Source organism: Homo sapiens, chromosome 6 (assembly GCF_000001405.40).
Source record: "Homo sapiens chromosome 6, GRCh38.p14 Primary Assembly".
Classification (NCBI taxonomy): Eukaryota; Metazoa; Chordata; class Mammalia; order Primates; family Hominidae; genus Homo; species Homo sapiens.
Genome location: NC_000006.12, coordinates 31,584,868 through 31,610,651, shown reverse-complemented (window position 1 = coordinate 31,610,651; position 25,784 = coordinate 31,584,868). Strand labels below are relative to the sequence as shown.

Sequence of the window (25,784 nt, the reverse complement as noted above, 5' to 3'; positions counted from 1 at the left end):
AACCTCCACCTCCCAGGTTCAAGTGATTCTCCTGCCTCAGCCTCCCGAGTAGCTGGGACTACAGGCACCCGCCACCATGCCTGGCTAATTTTTTGTATTTTTAGTAGAGACAGGGTTTCACCATGTTAGCCAGGATGGTCTCAATCTCCTGACCTCATGATCGGCCCGCCTCGGCCTCCCAAAGTGCTGGGATTACAGGCGTGAGCCACTGCGCCTGGCCAAGAACACCACTTCTTACACCAATCATGTGGAGACTTCTCCCACACCAATCAATTCTTCAGTTCTTGGTAGATATTAACTGGGAGTCCTGCAGTTTAATTCAGTTCTGACACTCTACCCATAATTACCAGTTATCTAATCCCCAAGTTGAAGGGCTCAGTTCTACAAGGCTGCCCCCACTCCAGATACCAATCACAAACAAGTCCAGGCCTCCTAACTGTTTTTATGACTCCCTCTTCTGGCTCAGTAATTCGCTGGAATAGCACGCAGAACTCAGGTAAACACTTTACTTATGTTAGCTAGTTTATTATGAAGGATAAAACTTAGGAACAGTCAGATGGAAGAGTTGCTCCGGACAAAGTATCGGGGAAGGGGGATTTGGAGTTTTCTTGTCCTCTCTGGGCACCTCCCTGCACCTCCATGTGTTCATCAACCTGGCAGCTCTCCAACCCTCATCTTTTTTGTTTTTTTTTATGGAGGCTTCATTATGCAGGCATACTTGATTCAATAGCCATTAGTTGGAGGTCAGAGGGTTGGAGCTAAAAGTTCTAACTCTCTAATCACACAGTTGCCTACCTTGGCAACAAACCCCAACCTTAGGGGCTTTCTAAAAGTCAACTTACTAACATAAACTCAGTTGTGGTTGAAAAGAGCTTGTTATGAATAACAAAAGCTCCCTTCACTTTATCATTTAGGAAATTACAAGGGCTTTAGGAGGTCTGGCCAGGAGCCAGGATGGAGACCAAAACACACACACACACACACACACACACACGCACGCACACACACATTAATATTTTGAGACAGGGAGACAGGGTCTCGTTCTGTTATCCAGGCTGGAGTGCAGTGGCACAAACATGGCTACTGCAGCTTTGACCTCCCAGGCTCAAGCGATCCTCCCTTGTCAGCCTCCTGAGTAACTGGGACTACAGGCATGTGCCACCACACCTGGCTAATTTTTAAAATTTTTTTTAGAGACAGGGTCTCCTTGTGTTGCCCAGGCTGGTCTTGACTGCCTGGGCTCAAGTAATCCTCCCACCTTGGCCTCCCAAAGTGCTGGGATTACAGGCCTGAGCCACCGTGCCTGACCTTTTTTTTTTTTTTATTTTTTTTTTTTTGAGACAGTTTCTTGTTCTGTCATCCAGGTTGGAGTGCAGTGGCACCATCATAGCTCACTGCAGCCTCAACTTCTTGGGCTCAAGCAATCCTTCCATCTCAGCCTCCCAAGCAGCTGGGACCCGCACCACCATGCCTGGCTCATTTTAAAATTTTTTGTAGAGATGAAGTCTCGCCAGGTTGCCCAGGCTGGTCTTGAACTCCTGGGCTCAAGTGATCCTCTGGTCTCAGCCTTCTAGAGTGCTGGGATTACATGTGTTAACCACCACACCCAACCCATATATATACATATTTATTTATTTTTTCCCCGAGATGGAGTCTTGCTCTGTTGCCCAGGTTAGAGTGCAGTGGCGCGATCTCCGCTCACTGCAAGCTCCACCTCCCAGGTTCACGCCATTCTCCTGCCTCAGCCTCCTGAGTAGCTGGGACTACAGGCGCCTGCCACCACGCCCGGCTAATTTTTTGTGTTTTTAGTAGAGACGGGGTTTCACCATGTTAGCCAGGATGGTCTCGATCTCCTGACCTTGTGATCTGACCGCCTTGGCCTCCCAAAGTGTTGGGATTACAGGTATGAGCCACCGCGCCTGGCCTTTTTTTTTGTGGGGGGATGGAGTCTCGCTCTGTCGCCCAGGCTGGAGTGCAGTGGCGATCTCGGCTCACTGCAAGCTCCGCCTCCTGGTTTCACGCCATTCTCCTGCCTCAGCCTCCCGAGTAGCTGGGACTACAGGTGCCTGCCCCCACACCCGGCTAATTTTTTTTTGTATTTTTAGTAGAGACGAGGTTTCACCATGTTAGCCAGGATGGTCTTGATCTCCTGACCTCGTGATCTGCCCCCCTCGGCCTCCCAAAGTGCTGGGATTACAGGTGTGAGCCACCACACCCGGGCCCAAAAATATATATTTTTATTATAACAATATCACAATGGGAGAAGAACATTTCAGGTGGAGGGAACAGCAAGTTCAAAGGCCCTGATGTGAGAGCAGTGTGGATATCTGGAGTGTTCATGGAGTAGCAGGGAGGCCTGTGCTGCTGAAGCCAGGTGAGGAGGAGGTCAGCTTGGGTAGGGCCTTGTAAAGACTCTGGCTTTTATTCTGAGTGAGACTGCCTCCCAGACTGGTCTTTCCATTGAGAATGGCTTGACAGACTACTGGGGTGAGACAGTGCTTAGATGCTCAGAAAAACTGCCTGGGATAGAGAGAATGACAGCTGCTCTGACTGTGGGACAAAAATGAAGACTAGGCCTGGCGCGGTGGCTCACTCCTGTAATCCCAGCACTTTGGGAGGCCGAGGCAGGCAGATCACCTGAGGTCAGGAGTTTGAGATCAGCCCGACAAACATGGAGAAACCCCGTTTCTACTAAATGTACAAAATTAGCCAGGCATGGTGGCGCATGCCTGTAATCCCAGCTACTTGGGTGGCTGAGGCAGGAGAATCGCTTGAACCTGGGAGGTGGAGATTGCAGTGAGCCGAGATCACGCCATTGCACTCCAGCCTGGGCAATAAGCGAAACTCCATCCCCCCCACCAAAAAAAGTGAATACTGAAGGGTATATAGGAAGACAAGCGGGTGGAGAAGGAAACTCAGGGCCTTCTGAGAAGGAAACAGAGATGAGGGGAAAAGAATAGACATGCAAGAAGATGCTGGGGCTCAGAAAGTGATACCCCAAAGACTGGTGCTTTGAAATGCTGAGAGGCCTTAGAAGCTGCCTTAGAATTGTCCTACCACACTTTCTGGAATTTCCTTATCTGACTGAAAAAACTTCTTTGCAAAAGAAGTGCAATTGTCTTAAGACCTCCTGCCTAGAGATCTTATCAAATGACCAGATCAACCACCAGAGAGAAGATATTAGGAGTCATCATCATACCCAGATAGACTTTTCTTCTCTTTCTTTTCTTCCTTTTGAGTCAGCGTCTTGTTCTGTTGCCCAGCCTGGAGTGCAGTGGCATGGTCATGGCTCACTGCAGCCTCAACCTCCAGGCTCAAGTGATCCTCCCACCCTAGCCTCCTGAGTAGCTGGGACGACAGGCATGTGCCACCACGCCTTAGGTTTTTTTTTTTTTTTTTTTTGAGATGGAGTCTCTCTCTGTCACCCAGGCTGGAGTGCAGTGACATGATCTCAGCTCACTGCAACCTCCTCCTCCTGGGTTCAAGCAATTCTCCTGCCTCAGCCTCCGGAGTAGCTGGGGTTACAGGCGCCCGCCACCACGCCCAGCTAAGTTTTGTATTTTTTAGGAGAGAAGGAGTTTCATCATGTTGGCTCTGGCTGATCTCGAACTCCTGACCTCAGGTGATCCACCTGCCTTGCCCTCCTAAAGTGCTGGGATTACAGACATGAGCCACTGCACCCAGCCATGGTGACTAATTATCTTTTTTTTTTTTTTTTTGAGACAGAGTCTCACACTGTCGCCCGGGCTGGTGTGCAGTAGCGCGATCTCGGCTCACTGCAACCTCCACCTTCCGGATTCAAGTGATACCCCTGCCTCAGCCTCCCAAGTAGCTAGGATTGCAGGCACCCGCCACCACGTCCAGCAATTTTTTTTTTTTTTTGAGACGGAGTCTCGCTCTGTCGCCCAGGCTGGTGTGCAGTGACAGGATCTCAGCTTACTGCAAGCTCCACTTCCTGGGTTCATGCCATTATTTTTTTGTATTTTTAGTAGAGATGGGGTTTCACTATGTTGCCCAGGCTGGTCTCAAACTCTTGACCTCGTGATCTGCCCACCTTGGCCTCCCAAAGTGCTGGGATTACAGGCGTGAGCCACAGTGCTGGTCTTTTTTTTTTTTTTTTTTAGATAGAGTCTTGCTTTGTCACCCAGGCTGGAGTGCAGTGGCATGATCTTGGCTCACTGCAACCTCTGCCTCATGGGTTCAAGAGATTCTCCCGCCTCAGCCTCCTGAGTAGCTGGGACTACAGATGCGCGCCACCAAGCCCAGCTAATTTTTTTGTATGTTTAGTAGAGACAGGGTTTTGCCATGTTGGCCAGGATGGTCTGGATTTCTTGACCTCGTGATCCGCCCTCCTCAGCCTCCCAAAGTGTCAGGATTACAGGCGTAAGTCACCGTGCCTGGCTTCTTTTTTTTTTTTTTTTTAAATATAGAGACAATGGATCATAATATAGAGACATTCTCATCCTAATGTTAGCACAACGGGGATGCAGATGGTCAGGATCTGGAGACTTGCAGGAATAGAGCAGTGAGCCAAAGTGCAGCCTGGTTTATGCTTAATTATAACTATATTTCTGCCCAGATCCCAGCATGCAATTCTTGTCAATCTTGGGACAGTTTCAATTTACTCTATTGAAAGTTTTTATTAATATTTTGATAACTGGAATTTGATTTCGATGCAATTTTTTTTTTTTGAGACGGAGTCTTGCTCTGTCACCCAGACTGGAGTGCAATGGCGTGATCTCGGCTCACTGCAACCTCCGCCTCCCGGTTCCAGCAATTCTCCTGCCTCAGCCTCCCAGGTAGTTAAGATTACAGGCGCCGACCACCATGCCTAGCTAATTTTTTGTTTTTAGTAGAGACAGGGTTTTGTCATGTTGGCCAGGCTGCTCTCGAACTCCTGACCTCGGGTGATCCACCTGCCTCGGCCTCCCAAAGTGTTGGGATTACAGGCGTGAGCCACTGCGCCTGGCCGATTTGTTTTTGTATGTATATTTTTTAAATTTTATGCTTTACTAGAATGCCAAAGGGATCTGTGGCACAAAATAACTAAGAACCACTGCTGTAACCTCTCTCTCCCCTCACCCCTTTGAGCCTGGGAGTGGAAATATCCCCTGCAGTTCTCTTACATAACACTCCCACCTTTGTGTGTGCGTGTGTTTTGTTTGTTTTGTTTTGTTTTTGGGATGGAGTCTCGCTCTGTCACCCAGGCTGGAGTGCAGTGAAGTGATGTCAGCTCAGTGCAACCTCCACCTCCCAGGTTCAAGCGATTCTCCTGCCTCAGCCTCCCTAGTAGCTGGGACTACAGATGCATGCCACCACGCCTGGCTAATTTTTTGTATTTTCAGTAGAGATGGGGCTTCACCGTGTTAGCCAGGATAGCCTTGACCTCCTGACCTCGTGATCCACCCTCCTCAGCCTCCCAAAGTGCTGCGATTACAGGCATGAGCCACCGCACCCGTTGTCTTTAATAATTTTTTTGCCTGCTTAATATATAGTTTCTGAGAGATGTGAGTCTTCCTCTAATATTGTAGGTTACTTTTCTGTCGCTGCTGCACAAATTTTTTTTTTTTTTTGAGATGGAGTCTCACTCTGTCGCCCAGACTGGAGTGCAGTGGCGTGATTTTGGCCCACTGCAACCTCTGCCTCCTGGGTTCAAGCGATTCTTCTCTTGAGTAGCTGGGATTACAGGTGCATGCTACCACGCCTGGCTACTTTTTGTATTTTTAGTAGAGACGGAGTTTCACCATATTGGTCAGGCTGGTCTCGAACTCCTGACCTCGTGATGCACCCTCCTCGGCCTCCCAAAGTGTTGGGATTACAAGCGGTAGCCACTGTGCCTGGCCTAAACTTTTTTTTTTAAGCATCCTTGTGCAGAGACTCCAAGGGCAAACAAGAGTAGTGCCAACCAGCCTGGCAGAGCTGAGGCAGGCCTGAACTCTGGCCCCTAAAGGGAAGAGGTGACTAGTCACTAGCCTTCCTTCATTCTCTCACCCAGAGAGAAATGGGGAAGGAAGAGAAATGGAGTAAAAGAATAAGGTATGTAGATGGGGAGAGATGGGAAGGGAAAACATGGAGAATGATGGGGAGGCAGAAAGCGATGCGAAGAGAGATGGAGGAAGACAGAGAGAGAGAAAGACGGAGAGGCAGACCAGACACGGCAGCTCACACCTGTAATCCCAGCACTTTGGGAGGCTGAGGCAGGTGGATCACTTGAGGCCAGGAGTTCAAGACCAGCCTGGCCAACATGGCAAAACCCCATCTCTACTAAAAATACAAAAATTAGCCAGGGGTGGTGGCATGTGCCTGTAATCCCAGCTACTCTGGAGGCTGGGGCAGGAGAATCATTTGAACCTGGGAGGTGGAGGTTACAGTGAGCTGAGAGCGCAAAAAAAAAAAAAGAAAAAAAATAGAATGTCTCACGTGGAAGGTGCTCGCTGAATATTTGTTGAATGAGTGAATAAGCAGAAGTGTGTATGCATGTGACAGAGAGGCAGAGGGGTAGGGGTGTGTAGAGATGTGGCGTTTGAGTGGACACGGGGGAAGAAACAAGTAATATGAATAACATGGTGAGACAGAAAGAGTTGTGGACAGAGCTGTGGGAAATATGAGAGATAAGGAGAGAGATACTGAAAAGAGCGATTAAGAGAGATGAAGATAGGGTGTCTGGCCCATGGAAGGCCCTCGTGAAGAGCAATGCTGAATAGATGAATGAACCTCAATGCCCAGCAGTGGTGGGATGAAGGGGATGCTGTGCAGAAACCACACTACCCATCAGAGAAGCAACTCTGCTCGTTTCCCCTTGAGTTGATGAGGGATTTAGCAACCAGTGGAATGAAGAGCAAGGGAAAGACACCTGCGATCTTTCAGAAGCAAAATGGACAGGGCCTGGAGATCTTTTGGATGGGGGAACTGAGGGAGAAGGCAGAGTAGGATGAATCCCAGGTGTTTGCCTTAAGTGACTGGGGCTTTGTGTTTCCATTCACTGGGACAGGGATGACAGGAGGCTGACCTGGTCTGAGTGGACACTGATGACTTTGAAATGCCTGTGGAGTATTCAGGGTAAGCCGCCTAGAGAGCAGTTAGATAGTGTGGACTTAGGTCTCAAGAAAGAGGCCTGAGGGGGAGATGTAGATTGGGGACTTGACAGAGAATAAGCAGTAGTGACAACTGTGGCTATGACAGGATTGCCTAGGAAAGCCATGGTAGATGCGCAAAATTTATTGAATGAAAGTGGGAAGCCAGGTGCATGCCTATAATCCCAGCTACGTGAAAGGCTGAGGTCGGAGGAACACCTAAAGCCCGGAGTCAGGACTTTGAGACTAGCCTGGGCAACATAGTGAGATCTCATCTCAAAAATATATATAATAAAAAATATATAATAACACTTTTTAAAAAGAAAGTGGGGCCAGGGGTGCTAGCTCATGCCTATAATCCCAGCACTTTGGGAGGCCGAGGCAGGCGGATCACTTGAGGTCAGGAGTTCGAGACCAGCCTGACCGACATGGTGAAACCCCATCTCTACCAAAAATACAAAATTAGCTGGGTGTGGTGGCACATGCCTGTAATCCCAGCTACTTGGGAGGCTAAGGCAGAAGAATCACTTGAACGCAGGAGGCGGAGGTTGCAGTGAGCCGAGATCGCACCATTGCACTCCAGCCTGGGCAACAAGAGCAAAATTCTGTCTCAAAAAAAAAAAAAAAAAAAAGTGGGAGAAACAACCCAAAAATTTTCCAACAGGACAGTGGTATAAAAGCACACGTTTAGGGTACAGGAGTCTGGGGGACTCAGGTTGGATGGCTTTTATGTCCTTGGGAAAGAGGAGGTGAGATTTCAAAGTGAAACAGCTTCCATGGTGACAGGATCTGAGATGTAGGTCATGGAGAGTCAAGGTGATGATTGGAGTGGACAAGGTGAAATAACTGTGAAGTTGCACACTTAGGGTATTGAAAAGGCATTTGCGAGATGGGTACAAGAAGTTTCATAGCAGATTGAGCCATAATAAGAAAAACAAAAAATAGAAACAACCCAATTGTACTTCATCAGGTGAATAGATCAACAAGCTGTGCTACATCATATAAAGGATTACCACTCAGCAAAAAAAAGGAATGAAACACTGATACATACAACAGCGTGGGCGAATCTCACAGACATTAAGCAGAATGAAAGGAGCCAGATACAAGAGTATGTACTATATGACTCCATTAATATGATGTTCAAGAACAGACTAATCTATAGAGGCCGAGCGCAGTGGCTCAGGCCTGTAATCCCAACACTTAGAGAGGTCAAGGCAGGAGGATCACTTGAGCCCAGGAGTTAGAATCCAGTCTGGGCAACATAGAAGGACCTCGTCTCTACAAAAAAAAATTTTTTTTTTTTTTTTGAGACAGAGTCTTGCTCTGTCACCCGGGCTGGAGTGCAATGACGCGATCTCGGCTCACTGCAACCTCTGCCTCCCAGGTTCAAGCAATTCTCCTGCCTCAGCCTCCCGAGTAGCTGGGACTATAGGCATGTGCCACCACGCCCGGCTGATTTTTTTTTTTTTTTTTGTATTTTTAGTAGAGACGGGGTTTCACTGTGTTAGCCAGCATGGTCTTGAGCTCCTGACCTTGTGATCCCCCTGCCTCGGCCTCCCAAAGTGCTAGGATTATAGGCCTAAACCACTGCACCCAGCCTACAAAAAAACTGTTAAAAAATTAGCTGGGTGCGGTGGCATATGCCTGTAGTCGTAGCTACTCAGGAGACTGAGGTGGGAGGATGGCTTGAGCCCAGGAGGTCAAGGCAGCAGTGAACTATAATTGCACTACTGCATTCCAACCTGGGTAACAGAGCAAGACTCTGTCCCAAGAAAAAAGTCTACAGAGGTTAAAAATGGTAAAATGGTTGCATCTAGGAGGGGAAAGGGATTTACCAAAAAGGGGCATGGAGGAATTTTCCAGGATAATGAGAATTATCTATATCTCTATTACAGTGTGGTTGCATGGGTGTACATATTGGCCAAAGGTCATCAAACTGTACATTAAGATCTGTGCATTTTACTGTATGAAATTATATATCAATGTTTAAAAATGTCATTTATGGCTGGGCACGGTGGCTCACGCCTGTAATCCCAGCACTTTGGGAGGCCGAGGCAGGTGGATCACGAGGTCAGGAGATTGAGACCATCCTGGCTAACATGGTGAAACCCTGTCTCTACTAAAAAATACAAAAAAATTAGCCAGGTATGGTGGCTGGTGCCTGTAGTCCCAGCTACTAGGGAGGCTGAGGCAGGAGAATGGCGTGAACCCAGGAGGTGGAGCTTGCAGGGAGCCGAGATCACGCCACTGCACTCCAGCCTGGGTGACAGAGCAAGACTCTCTCTCAAAAAAAAAAAAAAAAAAAGTCATTCATATGGACATTAAGTCCATTAAGGAGTTGGCAGAGGTTGAAATAGAGAGGAAGTGGGCTGGGCATGGTGGCTCACGCCTATAATCCCAGCACTTTGGGAGGCCGAGGTGGGCGGATCACAAGGTCTGGAGTTCGAGACCAGCCTGGCTAACATGGTGAAACCTTTTCTCTACTAAAAATACAAAAATTAGCCTGGCATGGTGGCAGGTGCCTGTAATCCCAGCTACTCTGGAGGCTGGGGCAGGAGAATCGCTTGAACCTGGGAGGCAGAGGTTGCGGTGAACCAAGATCACGCCATTGCACTCCAGCAACAACAGCAAAACTCTGTCTCAAAAAAAAAAAAAAAGAAAAAAGAAAAAAGAAAGAAAAAATAAATAGAGAAGAGGCTGCAGAGTCAGGGATGGGCTCTTGATGAATGTGAGGGCGAGTGGACGACACCAAGGAGAGATTGAAGGTCGTGAGGTCAGATGCTATGAGCCTCAGAGGAGAAGCTGTTCTCAGAAGCTGAAAGTATCATCACCTGGGAGCCATTCATTAGTTGAAAAATATTGATAAGACTTGGCCAGAGAAGTCACCCAATCTCACCCCTGCCAGCACGTAGAGGAACCCTGGTGGGGGTGGGGGAAAGATGAGATCACCTGTGCTGGATTGTGGACTTTTGTGTTTTCACCTGTTTTCATGGTCTGAGTTGGGAGTTTATTGGCCTCAACTACATCCAGCCAGCCCACAGCTTGTTGTTAAAGAAGTCAGACCAGAGACTGGGTGCGGCGGCTCACGCCTGTAATCCTAGCACTTTGGGAGGCTGAAGCAGGTGGATCACTTGAGGTCAGGAGTTCAAAACCAGCCTGGCCAACATGGTGAAACCCTGTCTCTAGTAAAAATACAAAAAAGTTAGCCAGGCATGGTGACAGGCGCTGTAGTCCCAGCTACTTGGGAGGCTGAGGCAGGAGAATCGCTTGAACCCGGGAGGCAGAGGTTGCAGTGAGCGGAAATCACACCACTGCACTCCAGCCTGGGCGACAGAGCGAGACTCCCTCTCAAAAAAAAAAAAACAAAAAAAACACACACAAAAACAGAGACCAGTGCACATCCACTTCAACACTGTTTTATTTGTTGCCTTTCCTCTTGAGTGCCTGGGAATAATTTCTTTAGAAAAGTTCCATCCTTGGCCAGGATGGATGCAGTGGCTCACGCCTGTAATCCCAGCACTTTGGGAGGCCGACGTGGGTGGATCACGAGGTCAGGAGTTCAAGACCAGCCTGGCCAAGATAGTGAAACCCCGTCTCTACTAAAAATATGAAAATTAGCTGGGCATGGTAGTGGGTGCCTGTAATCCTGGCTACTCAGGAGGCTGAGGCAGGAGAATCTCTTGAACCCGGGAGGCGGAGGTTGCAGTGAGCCGAGATCGCACCACTGCACTCTAGCCTGGGTAACAGAACAAGACTCTGTCTCAAGAAAAAAAAAAGAAAAAAAAAGTTCCATTCTTGTGCCCACTGTGCTGATTAGCGCAGCAGTTCCTGTCTTGCAGGTTAGCCTTCCCTAGAGGTTCTCAGAGTTATTAAAAGGGGTCCCTTGAATGTACACACATATCAGGATTTATTCTAGATGGACTGAAAAAAAAACCCCACATACTGTCTTTGGAATCTGGAACATTTTTAGCTATGACAAATGTTTAGAAGTCTTAGATATAGAAAAGAGCTGGGAGAGCAGGATGCCCTTGAGTCCAGGTGTAGCAATGGCACTGCCACCCTTGCACAGGACGGGGGAAGCACTGGAGAAGAACCACACATTGAACACCTAGGGCAATGGGGTCTGGAAGTTTACAGGTGGTACCCCCAGTTTACAGTAGTGGCACCAGGACTCCAACCTAGGCTGATTTGTCTTCTAAGCCACATTGCCTTGGGACGTGGAGTAGAACCATGTGATTGAGTGTACACTGTGGAAGAGTGGAGTTTGTTTTTTTTTTTTTTTGAGACGGAGTTTTGCTCGTTGCCCAGGCTGGAGTGCAGTGGCACAATGTTGGCTCACTGCAACCTCCGCCTCCTGGATTCAAGTGATTCTCGTGCCTCAGCCACCCAAGTAGCTGGGATTACAGGCACGCACCACCACGTCTGGCTAAGTTTTGTATTTTTAGTAGAGATGGGGATTCACCATGTTGGCCAGACTGGTCTCGAACTCCCGACCTCAGGTGATCTGCCCACCTCGGCCACCCAAAGTGCTGGGATTACAGGCGTGGGCCACTGCTCCCGGCCGGAAGAGTGGAGTTTTATCCCCAGCCAGTTACTTATTCCACGTCCCCACTGGTGGTGACCTCTTCTCCCTCCCCAAACCGTGGGCTTCTTACAGCTGAGATAGTAGAGACAATTTTTCCTATATTGATCCTTTGGGGTGTGAATGGGGTGTTGATAGAAGGAGGCAAGCAAGGTAGGGGATCGGGCAGAAGCTGGAATCAAGGCCCAGTTGAGAAAAGCCACCATTGGTAGCTCGGGCCTCCCATGCTCTCTGACCACCAGGGGGCAGGCCTTGCCTTGCCATGACGCCTCCATCCCACATCCTCTAGTTAGATATCCCTGGGGTGGCAGCCACTTCGCTGCTGGAGAATGGCTGAGTTGGTCCTTCCCAGGTTGTGTGGCATGTGTGGTTGTTCCGGTAGCTTAGGGAGGTAAAATAATTTGTTCAAGATTAGACTGGGCACAGTGGCTCACACCTGTAATCCCAGCACTTTGGGAGGCCGAAGTGGGAGGATTGCTTTAGGCCAGGAGTTTTAGATCAGCCTGGGCAACACGGTGAGACTCTGTCTGTACAAAAAATAAAAATAAGTGAGCCAAACGTGATGATGTGTGTCTGTAGTCCCAAATACTCTGGAGGCTGACGTGGGAGGGTCACTTGAGCTCAGGAGTTCAAAGTTCAAGGCCACGGGGAGCTATGATCATATGATCACACCGCTGCACTCCAGAATGGTTGACAGAGTGAGACCCTGTCTCAAAAAAAAAAAGGTTGTATAACATAATTGTGGGGATTGCGGGGGAGCTGACATTTGAACCTAGACTCATTCCAAACCAGCATTCTTAACCATGAGATGACTGCTTCTCCAAAAGAAAGCTCTGAATTACTTCAGTGATGGGTGGGAACTGGACAGTCTACAAAAGTACTGTGACACAGAGCTAGAAACACAGATACAAAGGAAAAAACATATATTAGGTCAGGTGTGGTGGCTCACACCTGTAATCCCAGCACTTTGGGAGGCCAAGGCGGGTGGATCACTTAAGGCCAGGTGTTTAAGACCAGCCTGGCCAACATGGCAAAACTCCGTCAGTACTAAAAACACAAAAATTAGCCGAGTGTGGTGGCACACGCCTGTGAACCCAGATACTCGGGAGGCTGAGGCACGTGAATCGCTTGAGCCTGGGAAGCAGAGGTTGCAATGAGCCAAGATTGTGCCACTGCACTCCAGCCTGGGCGACTGAACGAGACTGTCTCACAACAACAACAGCAACAACAACAACATGTATTCATATAAAATGAGCCAGGCTGGGCGCGGTGGCTCACGCCTGTAATCCCAGCACTTTGGGAGGCCAAGGCGGGCGGATCACAAGGTCAGGAGTTTGAGACCAGCCTGGCCAACATGGTGAAACTCAGTCTCTACTAAAAATACAAAAATTAGCTGGGTGTGGTGGCGCACGTCTGTACTCCCAGCTACTCGGGAGGCGGAGGCAGGAGAATCGCTTGAACCCGGGAGGCAGAGGTTGCAGTGAGCTGAGATTGAGCCATTGCACTCCAGCCTGGGCAACAAGAACAAGACTCCATCTCAAAATAAATAAATAAATAAAATAAATAAAAGGAGCCAGACCAGGAGTTTGAGACCTGGACAACATAGCAAGATGCTGTCTTTCAAAAATAAATAAAAGTAAAAAGTCAGGTGTGATGGCACATACCAGTATTCCAAGCTACTTGGGAGGCTGAGGCAGGAGGATTGCTTGAGTCCAGGAGATCGAGGCTGCAGTGAGCAATGATCACACCACTGTATTCCTGCTTGAGTGATAGAGTGAGACCCTTGTCTCTAAAAAATGTAATAGTAAAAGGAGCCAGAAGGGGGCATGCGGTAAGGGGTGGACACATGGCATATTACATGTCATCCTTCACTTCTATGTGCTGTATTATCTCCTGTAGCTGTGTGATACACATACAAGAGTGTCTGGCATACTCTTGTACCAATCCCTGTAGAGGTATTACCTTGTTTTATTGTGTTCCACAGATGTGCATTTTTTTATATATTGAAGTTTGTGGCAACCCTGTGTTGAGCAAGTCTGTAGGTGCCACTTTTCCAATAGCCTGTGCTCACTTTGTGTCTCAGTGGCACATTTTGGTAATTCTTGCAATATTTCAAACTTTTTCTTGATTATTTTATCTGTTATGATCTGTCAGTAGTGATTTTTTTTTTTTGAGACAGGGTCTCACCCTGTCATTCAGGCTGGAGTGCAGTGGCAAGATCATAGCTCACTGCAGCCTCGAAATCCTGGGCTCAAGTGATTCTCCTGCTTCAGCCTCCCAAGTAGCTAAGACTACTGGAACACACCAGCACACCTGGCTAATTTTATCTATTTATTTATTTAGGCAGAGTTTTGTTCTTGTTGCCCAAGCTGGAGTACAATGGCACGATCCCAGTTCACCACTACCTCCGTCTCCCAGTGATTCTCCTGCCTCCGCCTCCCGAGTAGCTGGGATTACCGGCATGCGCCACCACGCCCGACTAATTTTGTATTTTTAGTAGAGACGGGGTTTCTCCATGTTGGTCAGGTTGGTCTTGAACTAACGACCTCAAGTGATCTGCCCTCCTTGGCCTCCCAAAGTGCTGGGATGACAGGAGTCAGCCACTGTGCCTGGACTTTTTTTTTCTTTTTTGTAGAGCTGAGGTTGGCCAAGCGCAGTGGCTCATGCTTGTAATCCCAGTACTTTGAGAGGTCGAGTGGGCAAATCACTTGAGCCCAGGAGTTTGAGACCAGCCTGGACAACATGGTAAGACCCTGTCTCTACAAAAAATACAAAAATTATCTAGGCATGGTGGTGTGTGGCAGCTACTCAGGAGGCTGAGGTGGGAAGATGGTGTGAGCCCATGAGGTTGAAGCTGCAGTGAGCCGTGATTGTGCCACTGCACTCTAGCCTAGGCAACAGAGTGAGACCTTGTCTCAAAAAGAGAGAGAGAGAGAGAAGGTCTTGCTCTGTTGCCCAGGCTGGAGTGCCATGGAGCCATGGCTTTCACAAGCAAAATCGTAGCATACTGCAGTCTTGAACTTCTGTCCTCAAGTGATCCTTCCACCTCAGCCTTCTGAGTAGCAGAGACATAGGCACATACCACTGCACTTGGCAAGAATTAGCTAAATTTACTCTGCCACGCTGTGTAAATGGAACAATAAAGCCTAGATGGCTGGATGTGGTGGCTCATGCCTATAATCCCAGCACTTTGGGAAGCTGAGGTGGGCGGATCACCTGAGGTCAGGAGTTCAAGACCAGCCTGGCCAAGATGGTCAAACCCTGTCTCTACTAAAAATACAAAAATTAGCCGGGTGTGGTGGCAGTCACCTGTAATCCCAGATACTAGGGAGGCTGAGGCAGGAAAATCACTTGAACCCAGAGGGCGGAGGTTGCAGTGAGCTAAAATTGCACCACTGCACTCCAGCCTGGGTGACAGAGCAAGACTCCATCTCAAAAAAATATATAAATAAATAAATAAATAAATAAAAGCCTAGATGATAGTACATCTGTTTACAACGTGGTTTACTGATTTTAAAATTTTTCTTTTTTTTGTTTGTTTGTTTTTTTTTGAGACACGGTCTCAATATGTTGCCCAGGCTGTAGTACAGCAGCATGATCTCAACTCATTGAAACCTCTGCCTTCCAGAGTCAAATGATCCTCCTACCTCAGCCTCCTGAGTAGTTGGGACCACAGACATGAGCCACTATGCTCAGCTAATTTTTGTATTTTTTGTAGAGATAGGGTTTCGTCAGGTTGTCCAGGCTGATCTCCAACTCTTTTTTTTTTTTTTTTTTTTTTGAGACAAAGTCTTGCTCTGTCACCCAGGCTGGAGTGCAGTGGCGCAATCTCGGCTAACTGCAACCTCTGCCTCCAAGGTTCAAGTGATTCTCCTGCCTCAGCCTCCTGAGTAGCTGGGACTACAGGCAGATGCCACCACACCCAGCTAATTTTTTGTATTTTTAGTAGAGATGGGGTTTCACCGTGTTAGCCAGGATGGTCTCGATCTCCTGAACTCGTGATCCGCCCGCCTCAGCCTCCCAAAGTGCTGGGATTACAGGCATGAGCCACCATGCCTGGCCTGGCCTCCAACTCTTTAACTCAAGTGATCTGCCCTCCTGGGCTTCCCAAAGTACTGGGATTACAGGTGTGACCCACCATACCTAGCCAAAATTATTTTTTTTTAAACTCCATTTACTACTATTCCCAATTTAAATTGTATTTTATTTAGAGACAAGGTCTCCCTCCATTGCTCAGGCTGAAATGCAGTGGCAAAATCATAGCTCACTGCATCCTTGAAACTCCTGGGCTCAAGGAATCCTCCTTCCTCAACTTCCTGAGTAGCTGGTACTATAGGTGTGTGCCACTATGTCCAGCTAAGTTTAAATTTTTTTGTAGAGACAGGGTCTTGCCATGTTGCCCAGGCTGGTCTCAAACCCCTGGCCTCAAGCCGTCCTCTCACCTTGGCCTCCCAAAGTGCTGGGATTACAAGTGTAAGCCACTATGCCCCGCTGGTTTACTGAATATTTTAAGCCTACTGTTGAGGTCTACTGCTCCGAAAAACAAGATTTCTTTAAAATGATTACTGCTCATTGACAATGTACATAGTTATCCAAGAGCTCTGATGGAGATGTCCAAAGAGACGAATGTTGTTTTCTTTTTCTTTTTTTTTTTTTTTGAGACGGAGTTTCGCTCTTGTTGCCCAGGCTGGAGTGCAATGGTGCGATATCAGCTCACTGCAACTTCCGCCTCCTGGGTTCAAGTGATTCTCCTGCCTCAGCCTCCCGAGTAGCTGGGATTACAGGTGCGCCCCACCACACCCGGCTAATTTTGTATTTTTAGTAGAGACGGGGTTTCTCTATGTTGATCAGACTGGTCTCGGACTCCTGACCTCAGGTGATCCTCCCACCTCAGCCTCCCAAAGTGCTGGGATTACAGGCATGAGCCACCACGCCCAGCTGAATGTTGTTTTCCTGCCTGCTAACATAACATCCATCCTGTAGTCCATGGTTTAAGGAGTAATTTAGACTTTCAAGTCTCATTATTTAAGAAATACATTTCGCCAGGCATGGTGACTCATGCACTTTGGGAGGCCTAAGTGGATGGATTGTTTGAGCCCAGGAGTTGGATACCGGCCTGGGCAACACAGGGAGACCCCATCTCTACAAAAAATACAAAAATTAGCCTGGTGTGGTGGTGTGCGCCTGCAGTCCCAGCTACTCAGGAGACTGAAGTGGGAGGATCAACTGAGCCCTGGAGGTTGAGGCTGCAGTGAGCCGTGATGGCGCCACTGAACTCCAGCCTGGGTGAGACAGAGCCAGACCCTGTCTCAAAAAACCAAAACAGGAATCCCAGCACTTTGGGAGGGCGAGGCTGGTGGATCACTTGAGATCAGGAGTTGGAGACCAGCCTGGCCAACATGGTAAAACCCTGTCTCTACAAAAAATACAAAATTTAGCTGGGCTTGGTGATGTGCGCCTGTAATCCCAGCTACTTGGGAGGCTGAGGCAAGAGAATTGCTTGAACCCAGGAGGCAGAGGTTGCAGTGAGCCGAGATTGTGCCACTGCATTCCAGCCTGGGCAACAGAGTGAGACTCCAGCTCAAAAAAAAAACAAAAAACAAAAAAACCCAACCAAACACACACACACACACACACACACACACACACACACACACACACACACACACAAGGTGATTGCTATGCAAATTAAATATAGCTTCACCAATCAGCTTGCTTCTCCTAATCCCTCATAGAAATCTTGGAGTAGCCCTGGGGTGCAGTGAGGCCAGATTCCAGGAAGGGAATGGGTGGGATGGGTCTGGGTACTGGTGAGCAGCAGGGAGGGTAAGTAGGTTAGCTTCTGGGCCAAGGAGGGCTCCTGGAGGCTTGTTCTGGGTAAAAGCTGGTCTCCTTGAACCTCGGAAGGTGGGGGAACCCACATCCTGGTCTCACCCGCCCAACCGCCCACTCACCCTTGGGTTAGCAGCCATCTAAGCCCCACCCTCCCCCTCACACGCTTAGCTAGCCTGCCACAAGCTGGCCCCTTGGCCTCCTAGAGACCCTGACATCTCCTCCAGCAGCATCTGTCCTCTCTCCTCAGGGAGGCAAGCATTTGATGCTCGAGGTCCCTGGCAGTTGTGGTCCTTGGCAAGTGATGTGTGAGTCCCGTGTGTCATAGGAAGCTCCCCATCCCCATCTGGTGACCAAAGGCCTGGCTACAAGTAGTGAGTCCTTCCTCCTCCACCCAGACCTCACTGCTCAGATCCCCTTCGCCAACTGGGACATCTTCCGACATGGCCTGGATGCTGTTGCTCATCTTGATCATGGTCCATCCAGGTGACAGGGCGTGCGCTCAGGACCCCAAGGAGTGTGGGTGGGAGGAGGGAGATCCAGGAGGCTGGACTAGATGCTATAGGGAACGGGCTTGGTGGGGGCTGAAACACACGGCTCTGAGGGAGGAGTGGGACTGCTCCAAAGGTGACACTCAGTGGACTCCCCCAATTCACAGTCTCTCTGTGTCACCCACTGTGAGGCTTTTTAGTTTGAGAGATCCAAGTAAATCTATGATAAATTTCTTGGTGAAACTTTTTTTTTTTTTTTTTTGAGACTGAGTCTCGCTCTGTCGCCTGGCTGGAGTGCCGTGGTGCGATTTTGGCTCACTGCAACCTCTGCCTCCCATGTTCAGGTGATTCTCCTGCCTCAGCCTCCTGAGTAGCTGGGACTACACGCACGCACGACCACACCTGGCTAATTTTTTTTTTTTTTGAGACGGAGTCTTGCTCTGTCACCTAGGCTGGAGTGCAGTGGCATGATCTTGGCTCACTGCAACCTCTGCCTCCTAGATTCAAGCAATTCTCCTGCCTCAGCCTCCTAGGTAGCTGGGATTACAAGCGCGCACCACCACACCCAACTAATTTTTGTATTTTTAGTAGAGACAGGGTTTTACCATGTTGGCCGGGCTGGTCTTGAACTCCTGACCTCAGGTGATCTGCCTGCCTCGGCCTCCTAAAGTGCGGGGATTACAGGCCTGAGCCACTGCGCCCAGCCATTTTTGTATTTTTAGTAGAGATGGGGTTTTGCTATGTTGGCCAGGTTGGTCTCAAACTCCTGATCTCAAGTGATCTGCCTGCCTCGGTCTCCCAAATTACTGGAATTATAGGCATGAGCCACTGCGCCCGCCTGGTGGTGAAACTTTTTTTTTGAGACAGTTTCATTCTGTTGTCCAGTCTAGAGTACAGTGGCGGTATCTCAGCTCACTGCAGCCTCCACCTCCTGGGTAAAAATGATTCTCCTGTCTCAGCCTCCCAAGTAGCTAGGATTACAGGTGCATGCCATTACTGCTGGCTAACTTGTGTATTTTTAGTAGAGACGAGGTTTCACCATGTTGGCCAGGCTGGTCTCAAACTCCTGACCTCAGGTGATCCACTCGCCTTGGCCTTCCAAAGTGTTGGGATTATAGGCGTGAGCCACTGCACCCGGCCGAAACTGTTTTTAATGAACTGAGAGACCTTAACTATCAGGCATATTATTAACTAAATGCAGGAGTTCTCAAAATGTGGATTTCTGGGAACCTAGAACAAATTCTTAGGCCCCACTCCAGACCTACTGAGTCAAAAACTCGGGGGGTAGGCCCAGGAATCTGTTCTAGCAGATGCTCCAGGTAATTTCCATACACACTCAAGTTTGAGAACCACTGAAATAGAATGACTTGTAAATTTCCCTAAGTAGATAATTTAATCAGGGATTTTAATATTTGGTTTAATTCATCAACATGGACGGGTTAAATAGGAATCTCAACCAATTAAGGCCACGTCTTCACCTGGAGATTTAATTAGTTACTTTCTTTAACGAAAACCAAGAGTGGCTGGGTGCACTTTGGGAGGCCGAGGCAGGTGGATCACTTGAGATCAGGAGTTTGAGACCAGCCTGGTCCGAGGTGGGTGGATCACTTGAGGTCAGGAGTTTGAGACCAGATGGTGAAACCCTGTCTCGACTGAAAATACAAAAATTAGCCAGTCGTGGTGGTGGGTGCCTGTAGTCCCAGCTACTTGGGAGGCTGAGGCACCAGGATCGCTTGAACCCAGGGGACGGAGTTTGCAGTGAGCCAAGATTGCACCACTGCATTCCAGCCTGGGCAACAGAGCAAGACCCCATCTCAAAAAAAGAAAAAAGAAAAAGAGGAAGGATGGCTTACTGTACAATGCCATTTGTACTAAAATAATACCTGGATAATATAATGAGTGATATTAGTTAACTAGGCAGCTGCATTCATTAATGAGCTTAATTTCACCATGATGGTTTACATTTCAGCTAGACAAGTTACTACTGAACTGGCTGGAGAATGATGGCAGAGGGTGAGAGTGAGAGTTGGTATAGGAAGAATTTGAAAAATGATTTTTATTTTTTATTTTTTGAGATGGAGTCTTGCTTTGTCGCCCAGGCTGGAGTGCAATGGCGCAATCTTGGCTCACTGCAACCTCTGCCTCCCGGGTTCAAGCGATTCTCCTGCCTCAGCCTCCCGAGTAGCTGGGATTACAGGTGCACACCACCATGCCCGGCTAATTTTTGTATTTTTTTAGTAGAGACGGGGTTTCACCATGTTGGCCAGGATGGTCTCGATCTCCTGACCTGGTGATCCGCCCACCTCGGCCTCCCAAAGTGCTGGGATTACAGGCGTGAGCCACTGCACCCAGCCGAAAAATGATTTAATAAGCAATGTTAAGAAATCAGATTGGTTAAGAGGGAAGGGTTTAATGAGGCACCCAAAGTATCTATTCCCATGCACCCTATGCCTGGAGAAAGCTGGGATGTTCTACTCCAAGCTCTGTTGTCTTTTCTCTTTGGAATAACTGGGGAGGTGTTTCTCTGGGTCTTCCTTCTGCCCCCAGGATCCTGTGCTCTCTGGGTGTCCCAGCCCCCTGAGATTCGTACCCTGGAAGGATCCTCTGCCTTCCTGCCCTGCTCCTTCAATGCCAGCCAAGGGAGACTGGCCATTGGCTCCGTCACGTGGTTCCGAGATGAGGTGGTTCCAGGGAAGGAGGTGAGGAATGGAACCCCAGAGTTCAGGGGCCGCCTGGCCCCACTTGCTTCTTCCCGTTTCCTCCATGACCACCAGGCTGAGCTGCACATCCGGGACGTGCGAGGCCATGACGCCAGCATCTACGTGTGCAGAGTGGAGGTGCTGGGCCTTGGTGTCGGGACAGGGAATGGGACTCGGCTGGTGGTGGAGAAAGGTGAGATGCTGGGAGGTGGTGTCTCCTCCTGGCTGGAGGCCCCAAGAGGCAATGTCCTTGGGAGGCAGGGATGCTCCTCTGAGGCCCCTTCCCTCCCTGAGCCTGTGTGCACTTCTTCCCCAACCCCCGTCTCCATTGCCCCATGCAGAACATCCTCAGCTAGGGGCTGGTACAGTCCTCCTCCTTCGGGCTGGATTCTATGCTGTCAGCTTTCTCTCTGTGGCCGTGGGCAGCACCGTCTATTACCAGGGCAAATGTGAGTAATGGAGCCAGGGGCAATAGTGGACGGGATGGGAGGGGCAGTAAGAGAGTGGGAGGAGGGAGGACAGAGACCAGGAAGAGGAGAGCCTCGGGACTGCAACACTGAGCAGCTCCTGTCCTCTCTCTGACCAGGCCACTGTCACATGGGAACACACTGCCACTCCTCAGATGGGCCCCGAGGAGTGATTCCAGAGCCCAGATGTCCCTAGTCCTCTTCAAAAGACCCCAATAAATCTGCCCCACCACTAACTCCTCATGAGTCTCAAGTGTTTTCTTCTCCATTCTCCAGATGCCAAATCTACTCTCTCCGGATTCCCCCAACTCTGAACTTTCCCTTCCACCAGGTCTGACCTGGAAAGGTCCAAGAAGGCAGCTGCCGGCTGTGGTCCCAGCGCCCCTCCCACCACCATGTGGGAGCTCAGCACATCTGCTTCCCCCAGTCCCAGGAGGCTGAGCCTGATTGTCCTGAGAAATGGGAAGGATCAGATATGACTCCTCCTTGGCAACTGCCCTTTCCTGCCAGGCCCACACATACCCTCTTCTGGCTGTTAGGGGAGCTTGGGTCCCTGAACACTGTCATTCACCCAATAAATTACTATTTGACCCCAGAGTGGGTGGAAGGGTGAGCCATGTGTTTTTTTTATTTTAATTTTTAAAAAATTTAAAAAATTCCCTATTCAAAGGTCAAAAAGCCACATAAGTTTTGATGATGATCAATTTGAACGGAGGCTCGAGATGGACTGAGAGGACTGAGACACAGAAGTGGGGGGACCATGGTTTTTACTGGCTGGACCACAGGGGGACCCTGTCCACCCGCCTGGGTTGAGGAAGGTGTCTGGGGTGCTCAGGTGGGTTTGTTCTCAGCAATGCAGGCATAGTCAGCTCTTGGATCCTCCTTGGTGCCTCTCTTGTCTCTGCCCCTGAGGTCAGGTCCCTCACTGCTGGGCACTGGCAGCCTCTGCAGAGATGCATAGTGGAGTTCCTGCTCTGAGGAGCCCTGGGCCTGGGACCAGGACAGAAGGTGCTGATGGGAGGCGATGCCGTCAGATCCTTCCCTGTGAGTTCTGCTCCCACCTCCAGCCTTTCTTACTTCTCTCCCTCTCTCTCTCTCTCTCTCCCTCTCTCTCTCTCTCTCTCTCTCTCTCTTTTTTCTTTGGAGACAGAGTCCCACTATGTTGTCCAGGATTGTCTTCAACCCCTGAGCTCAAGCTATCTTCCTGCCTCAGCCTTGCGATAGCTGGAATGACAGACGTGAGCCACTGTGCCTGGTTCTGGAGCCTCTCTCTCTCTCTCTCTTTCATTGCTCTTCTCTTTGTGTCTCTCTCACTCTCATTTTCTCCCTGTCTCTCCTATCCTCTGTCTCACTTTTTCTCTTGGTTTCTGTCTCATTTTCTCTTTCTCTTTTGCCTCGATTTTCTCTGCCTCTCTCATGCTCCTACTTTCTCTCTCCTTGTCTCCCGTCCCCAACCCTCCTCTCAGCGCTCAGCCATGCTTCTCCCCACTCACCCACTCAGGATCTCTCTTGCCCTCCCCCTTCCCTGTCCCCAGACTCACCCAGCTCCTCTCCAGCCTCTTTACTGGAAGAAAAGAAGAAGCTCAACACAGCCCACCCTTTGTGCTTCTCCCGGGCCCTCCCGGGCTCCCCCCACCAGCAGGCGTGGACTCCCCTGTTGGCTTCCCAGTGGCTCCAGGGCCAGGCAGTGTTCTGGGAAAGCAGTGGGAAAGCGTGTGGGGGTGGGGGCACAGGGGGCACTGCTGCAGGGGGAGGGAGGGAGTGCAGCGCTCACCTCTTCGATGCAGCCAACACAGGCAGGCGGACAGAAGGACCACTGCCAGAAGCAGGAGCCCGCCCAGCCCCAGGCCCCCGTAGATACATATATCTTCAGGGAAGAGGGCTCAAGGTTAGGAAGCCCATTCCTTCTCCAGCGTACCCCAGCCTCCTGGTTGGTTGCAGCTTTCTCAGATTCCCTCTCCAACAGTTTTAGAGGCAGAAAAATATACCCTCAGAGCTTCTCCATCCCAGACCTTAATACCTCACCTCTTACCAGGTTTCTGGGCCTCCCGTGAGGTCCCTTTCCCTCCTGTACCAGCTGTCCCCAGAGGCCTGTCCACCTAGTCATGAGCTGCATACATCACTGTTCCCCATCACTTCCTAAGCTCCCAGGACTCTCTCTATGCAGATGCAAGAGACACTTTACTTACCATCATTCCGCGATAACATTAGGTCAGGGATCAGGGACTGGCCTGGAGGTCAGGAACTCTAGTCCTTGCTCTTTTAGGCGAAATGATCAGGGGCTGGTGACTTGCCTCAAGTTCCTCATCTGTGAAGTGAGGGGCCCTCTGTTATAATCGTTCCCAGGCTGGGGAGCCTCCCTTATGTGCCAACCCTGAGCTGGGCACTTTCCATTCCTCACTGCTAATCCCCAGAACATAGGGTATCATGGTGCCCGTTGCCCAAGTAAAGACCCGAGATTCAAGCCTGGACTTTACTAGGTCACCCATCCCAGAAAGGTGGAGCTGGGGTTTAAGGCCAGCTCTGCCCAACTCCAGAGCCCAGCCCTTTCCTCTGCCCTGGGCTGACCACGTGGTTTGGAGGGGACTTTTCAGCCCTGGATGGTTCTAGGTGCTGGTAAGGGGATGATGGAGGGGAAGGAGCCTGGGCCTGGGTGGGTGTGGGCACTGGGGGGAAGAAGGGAGGGTGATATCAGCACACCCAGCAGGTGGGCTGCTCCCTGAGCCGCAGAGCAGCGCGGGAGTGTGGGGGCCCCCTTGGCTGGTGTGGAGAGCTGCTTCCCACAGGCAGATGCTGCTAGGGCTGAAGTGGGGCATGGAGGAGTATCTGGGGCCCCATAACTTCCCCTCAGGCACTTCCTCCCCTCCAACCACTGGTTCCTGTTTGAGGGTGAAGAGGGGGCCGTTCTCTTCACCCCAGAGCCAGATATACTGACTAGGGTCTGGAAACTGGGACCCTTCTGGGTTTAAGAGGAATTCTGGGGGGTGGGGAGCAGAAGTGCAGGTGGAGGCCATAAGGGCCGTGGGCACAGAAATGAATTGTCTTTAATTTCTTTGGGGAGCAGAGACTCAGAGGATTCCTCGACGGCCCAGGGAAACTCAAACCCATACTCTCCCTCCCCTCATCTTAGCTTCACCCCACTCTGGGGTGTGACCATCCTTCCACCAAGGTCCCTGCCCATTCCCAGCTTACCCAGAGCTTGTGGCCTGCAGGATGGACAGACTCCAAACTGGCCAGTGCTGTCTGGCTGAAGAGAAGTGTTGCCACCTCAGACATTCCTGCCCCTCCTCTGGCTTTAACTTCTCCCCCAGCCTGGGTTCCTCCCCAGCATTGTTAGGAGAGGAAGTTCGGCTCCAGGGTTAGGGTTACAACATCTTTCTTTTCAAACTTCTGGGCCTGTAGCTAGGGCCATAATCTGCCTCAGCTCCAGTCATTTCACTGATCCTGCCACTAGTCAGCAAACACCCACCACCTTCAGGTGTCTTCCTTGATTAACTCTTCTCTATTACCTCTTACACTGCATCTGTTGAGACCTCTTGATCTTGGCATATGTCTGTGGACACATGTACCCTGCTCCAGTTCAGACTGGGAGCTCTGGCATATTTGGTGTTCTGGTGACCCACTTGGTGTTCTGCAGCTCTATGCAGCAGGCTGCTTGGCTGTCTGATTAACAAACATGAGAGTTAAAGGCAGCCATACTAGATCTACATGAGCCCTGTGGATAGATCAAGGACAGAAAGTTGGTGACAAGTTGGTGACAGGAAAGGAGGTGTGGGCAATACAGGTGGACTTCCTGTAGGAGGCAGCATTCTGGCATTGAACACAGAACTAAGTAAAGGCAGCGGCCTGAGGCTCTCTGGAGAGACCTGGGTGAAGGCTTCTTAGTGGCACTGTGATGGAGAAGGAGATGGGTGCTGGAGGATTGCACACCCACTCCTTGAGGAGGGTGAAGACTGGGGAGCGCCTGTAAGGCAAGGGGTGAGGAGGAGATGTGGTGCCTGGGTGGGTCCATATTAATTTGCGTTTCCCCTTCCAAATTCAAGAACCTTCTACTTCCTCCCCCACCCTTCTCCCCATCCTCCATGTTCCCCATGCTGAATAATATTCAGGGTTTTTTGTTTGTTTGTTTTGTTTTTTTTACATTTTATTATTAAAAAGTGCAAACATAGGGTGAAATGAGAATAATTGTACAGTGAACATATTCTTACCACCTAGATGCTACTATTAACATTTTTTGTTTTGTTTTGTTTTTGAGATGGGGTCTCACTCTGTCACTCAGCCTGAAGTGCAGTGGTGAAATCATAGCTCACTGCAGCCTTGAATTCCTGGGCTCAGAGGTCCTCCCACCTTAGCCTTCTGAGTAGCTAGGACTACAGACACCAGCTACCACATGAGGCTTTGTAGAAATGGGGTCTTACTATGTTGCCCAGGCTGATTTTGAACTCCTGGTCTCAAGCAATCTTTCCACCTTAGCCTTCCAAAGTGCTGGAATTACAGGAGTGGGCCACTGCACCTGGCTCTATTAACATTTTTTATTTGCTTTATCACATATTTATCAATCCATCTCACTTTTAAATATCTTTTAAAATTACAAATATCAGTACATTTTACATCTAAACCCTTCAGAAGCTTAACATTGA

General features: G+C 49.5%; 2 protein-coding genes across 18 annotated transcripts, besides 4 other annotated features; one reads left to right on the top strand and one right to left on the bottom strand.

Annotated features, from left to right (window-relative positions):
- Nucleotides 12,422-12,922: an enhancer, noted in NCBI's record as "H3K4me1 hESC enhancer chr6:31565507-31566007 (GRCh37/hg19 assembly coordinates)". NCBI's record gives its function as "activates a minimal SCP1, AML or CMV promoter by ChIP-STARR-seq in primed H9 embryonic stem cells {active_cell/tissue: H9 hESC(primed)}" and the evidence as "EXISTENCE:reporter gene assay evidence [ECO:0000049][PMID:30033119]".
- Nucleotides 12,923-13,423: an enhancer, noted in NCBI's record as "H3K4me1 hESC enhancer chr6:31565006-31565506 (GRCh37/hg19 assembly coordinates)". NCBI's record gives its function as "activates a minimal SCP1, AML or CMV promoter by ChIP-STARR-seq in primed H9 embryonic stem cells {active_cell/tissue: H9 hESC(primed)}" and the evidence as "EXISTENCE:reporter gene assay evidence [ECO:0000049][PMID:30033119]".
- Nucleotides 16,440-17,360: an enhancer, noted in NCBI's record as "H3K4me1 hESC enhancer chr6:31561069-31561989 (GRCh37/hg19 assembly coordinates)". NCBI's record gives its function as "activates a minimal SCP1, AML or CMV promoter by ChIP-STARR-seq in primed H9 embryonic stem cells {active_cell/tissue: H9 hESC(primed)}" and the evidence as "EXISTENCE:reporter gene assay evidence [ECO:0000049][PMID:30033119]".
- NCR3 (natural cytotoxicity triggering receptor 3) lies at nt 17,646-21,757 on the top strand. Of its 5 annotated transcripts, none has more exons than XM_006715049.4 (5): nt 17,646-17,795; nt 17,886-17,973; nt 20,526-20,870; nt 21,019-21,126; nt 21,476-21,757. In XM_006715049.4, the coding sequence occupies exons 2-5, from the start codon at nt 17,931-17,933 to the stop codon at nt 21,583-21,585; spliced, it is 606 nt and encodes a 201-aa protein (XP_006715112.1). In that variant the 5' UTR covers nt 17,646-17,795; nt 17,886-17,930; the 3' UTR covers nt 21,586-21,757. The 5 variants fall into 5 exon arrangements, with proteins under 5 accessions (XP_006715112.1, XP_011512761.1, NP_667341.1 ...); XM_011514459.3 differs by having other exon boundaries at nt 17,646-17,973; nt 20,526-20,677; nt 20,753-20,870; NM_147130.3 differs by having other exon boundaries at nt 17,646-17,973.
- Nucleotides 20,372-20,872: an enhancer, noted in NCBI's record as "H3K4me1 hESC enhancer chr6:31557557-31558057 (GRCh37/hg19 assembly coordinates)". NCBI's record gives its function as "activates a minimal SCP1, AML or CMV promoter by ChIP-STARR-seq in primed H9 embryonic stem cells {active_cell/tissue: H9 hESC(primed)}" and the evidence as "EXISTENCE:reporter gene assay evidence [ECO:0000049][PMID:30033119]".
- Nucleotides 21,743-24,375, bottom strand: LST1 (leukocyte specific transcript 1). Of its 13 annotated transcripts, none has more exons than XM_006715206.4 (5): nt 24,337-24,375; nt 23,334-23,452; nt 22,919-23,011; nt 22,686-22,708; nt 21,743-22,155 (listed from the first exon to the last, which is right to left on the bottom strand). In XM_006715206.4, the coding sequence occupies exons 2-5, from the start codon at nt 23,350-23,352 to the stop codon at nt 21,976-21,978; spliced, it is 315 nt and encodes a 104-aa protein (XP_006715269.1). In that variant the 5' UTR covers nt 23,353-23,452; nt 24,337-24,375; the 3' UTR covers nt 21,743-21,975. The 13 variants fall into 13 exon arrangements, 11 of the variants coding, with proteins under 11 accessions (XP_006715269.1, NP_995311.2, XP_011513216.1 ...); NM_205839.3 differs by having other exon boundaries at nt 21,743-22,134; XM_011514914.3 differs by lacking the exon at nt 24,337-24,375 and adding an exon at nt 23,845-23,953.

Coding starts and splice junctions, on each gene's coding strand:
- NCR3 (XM_006715049.4), top strand. CDS start 17,931: ATGGCCTGGATGCTGTTGCTCATCTTGATCATGGTCCATCCAG. Junction 17,974..20,525: donor CTTGATCATGGTCCATCCAG/GTGACAGGGCGT, acceptor TTCTGCCCCCAG/GATCCTGTGCTCTCTGGGTG. Junction 20,871..21,018: donor TCGGCTGGTGGTGGAGAAAG/GTGAGATGCTGG, acceptor TGCCCCATGCAG/AACATCCTCAGCTAGGGGCT.
- LST1 (XM_006715206.4), bottom strand. Junction 22,709..22,918: donor GTGTTGGCTGCATCGAAGAG/GTGAGCGCTGCA, acceptor CTTTTCTTCCAG/TAAAGAGGCTGGAGAGGAGC. Junction 22,156..22,685: donor AGAGGCTGGAGAGGAGCTGG/GTGAGTCTGGGG, acceptor GCCTCCCATCAG/CACCTTCTGTCCTGGTCCCA.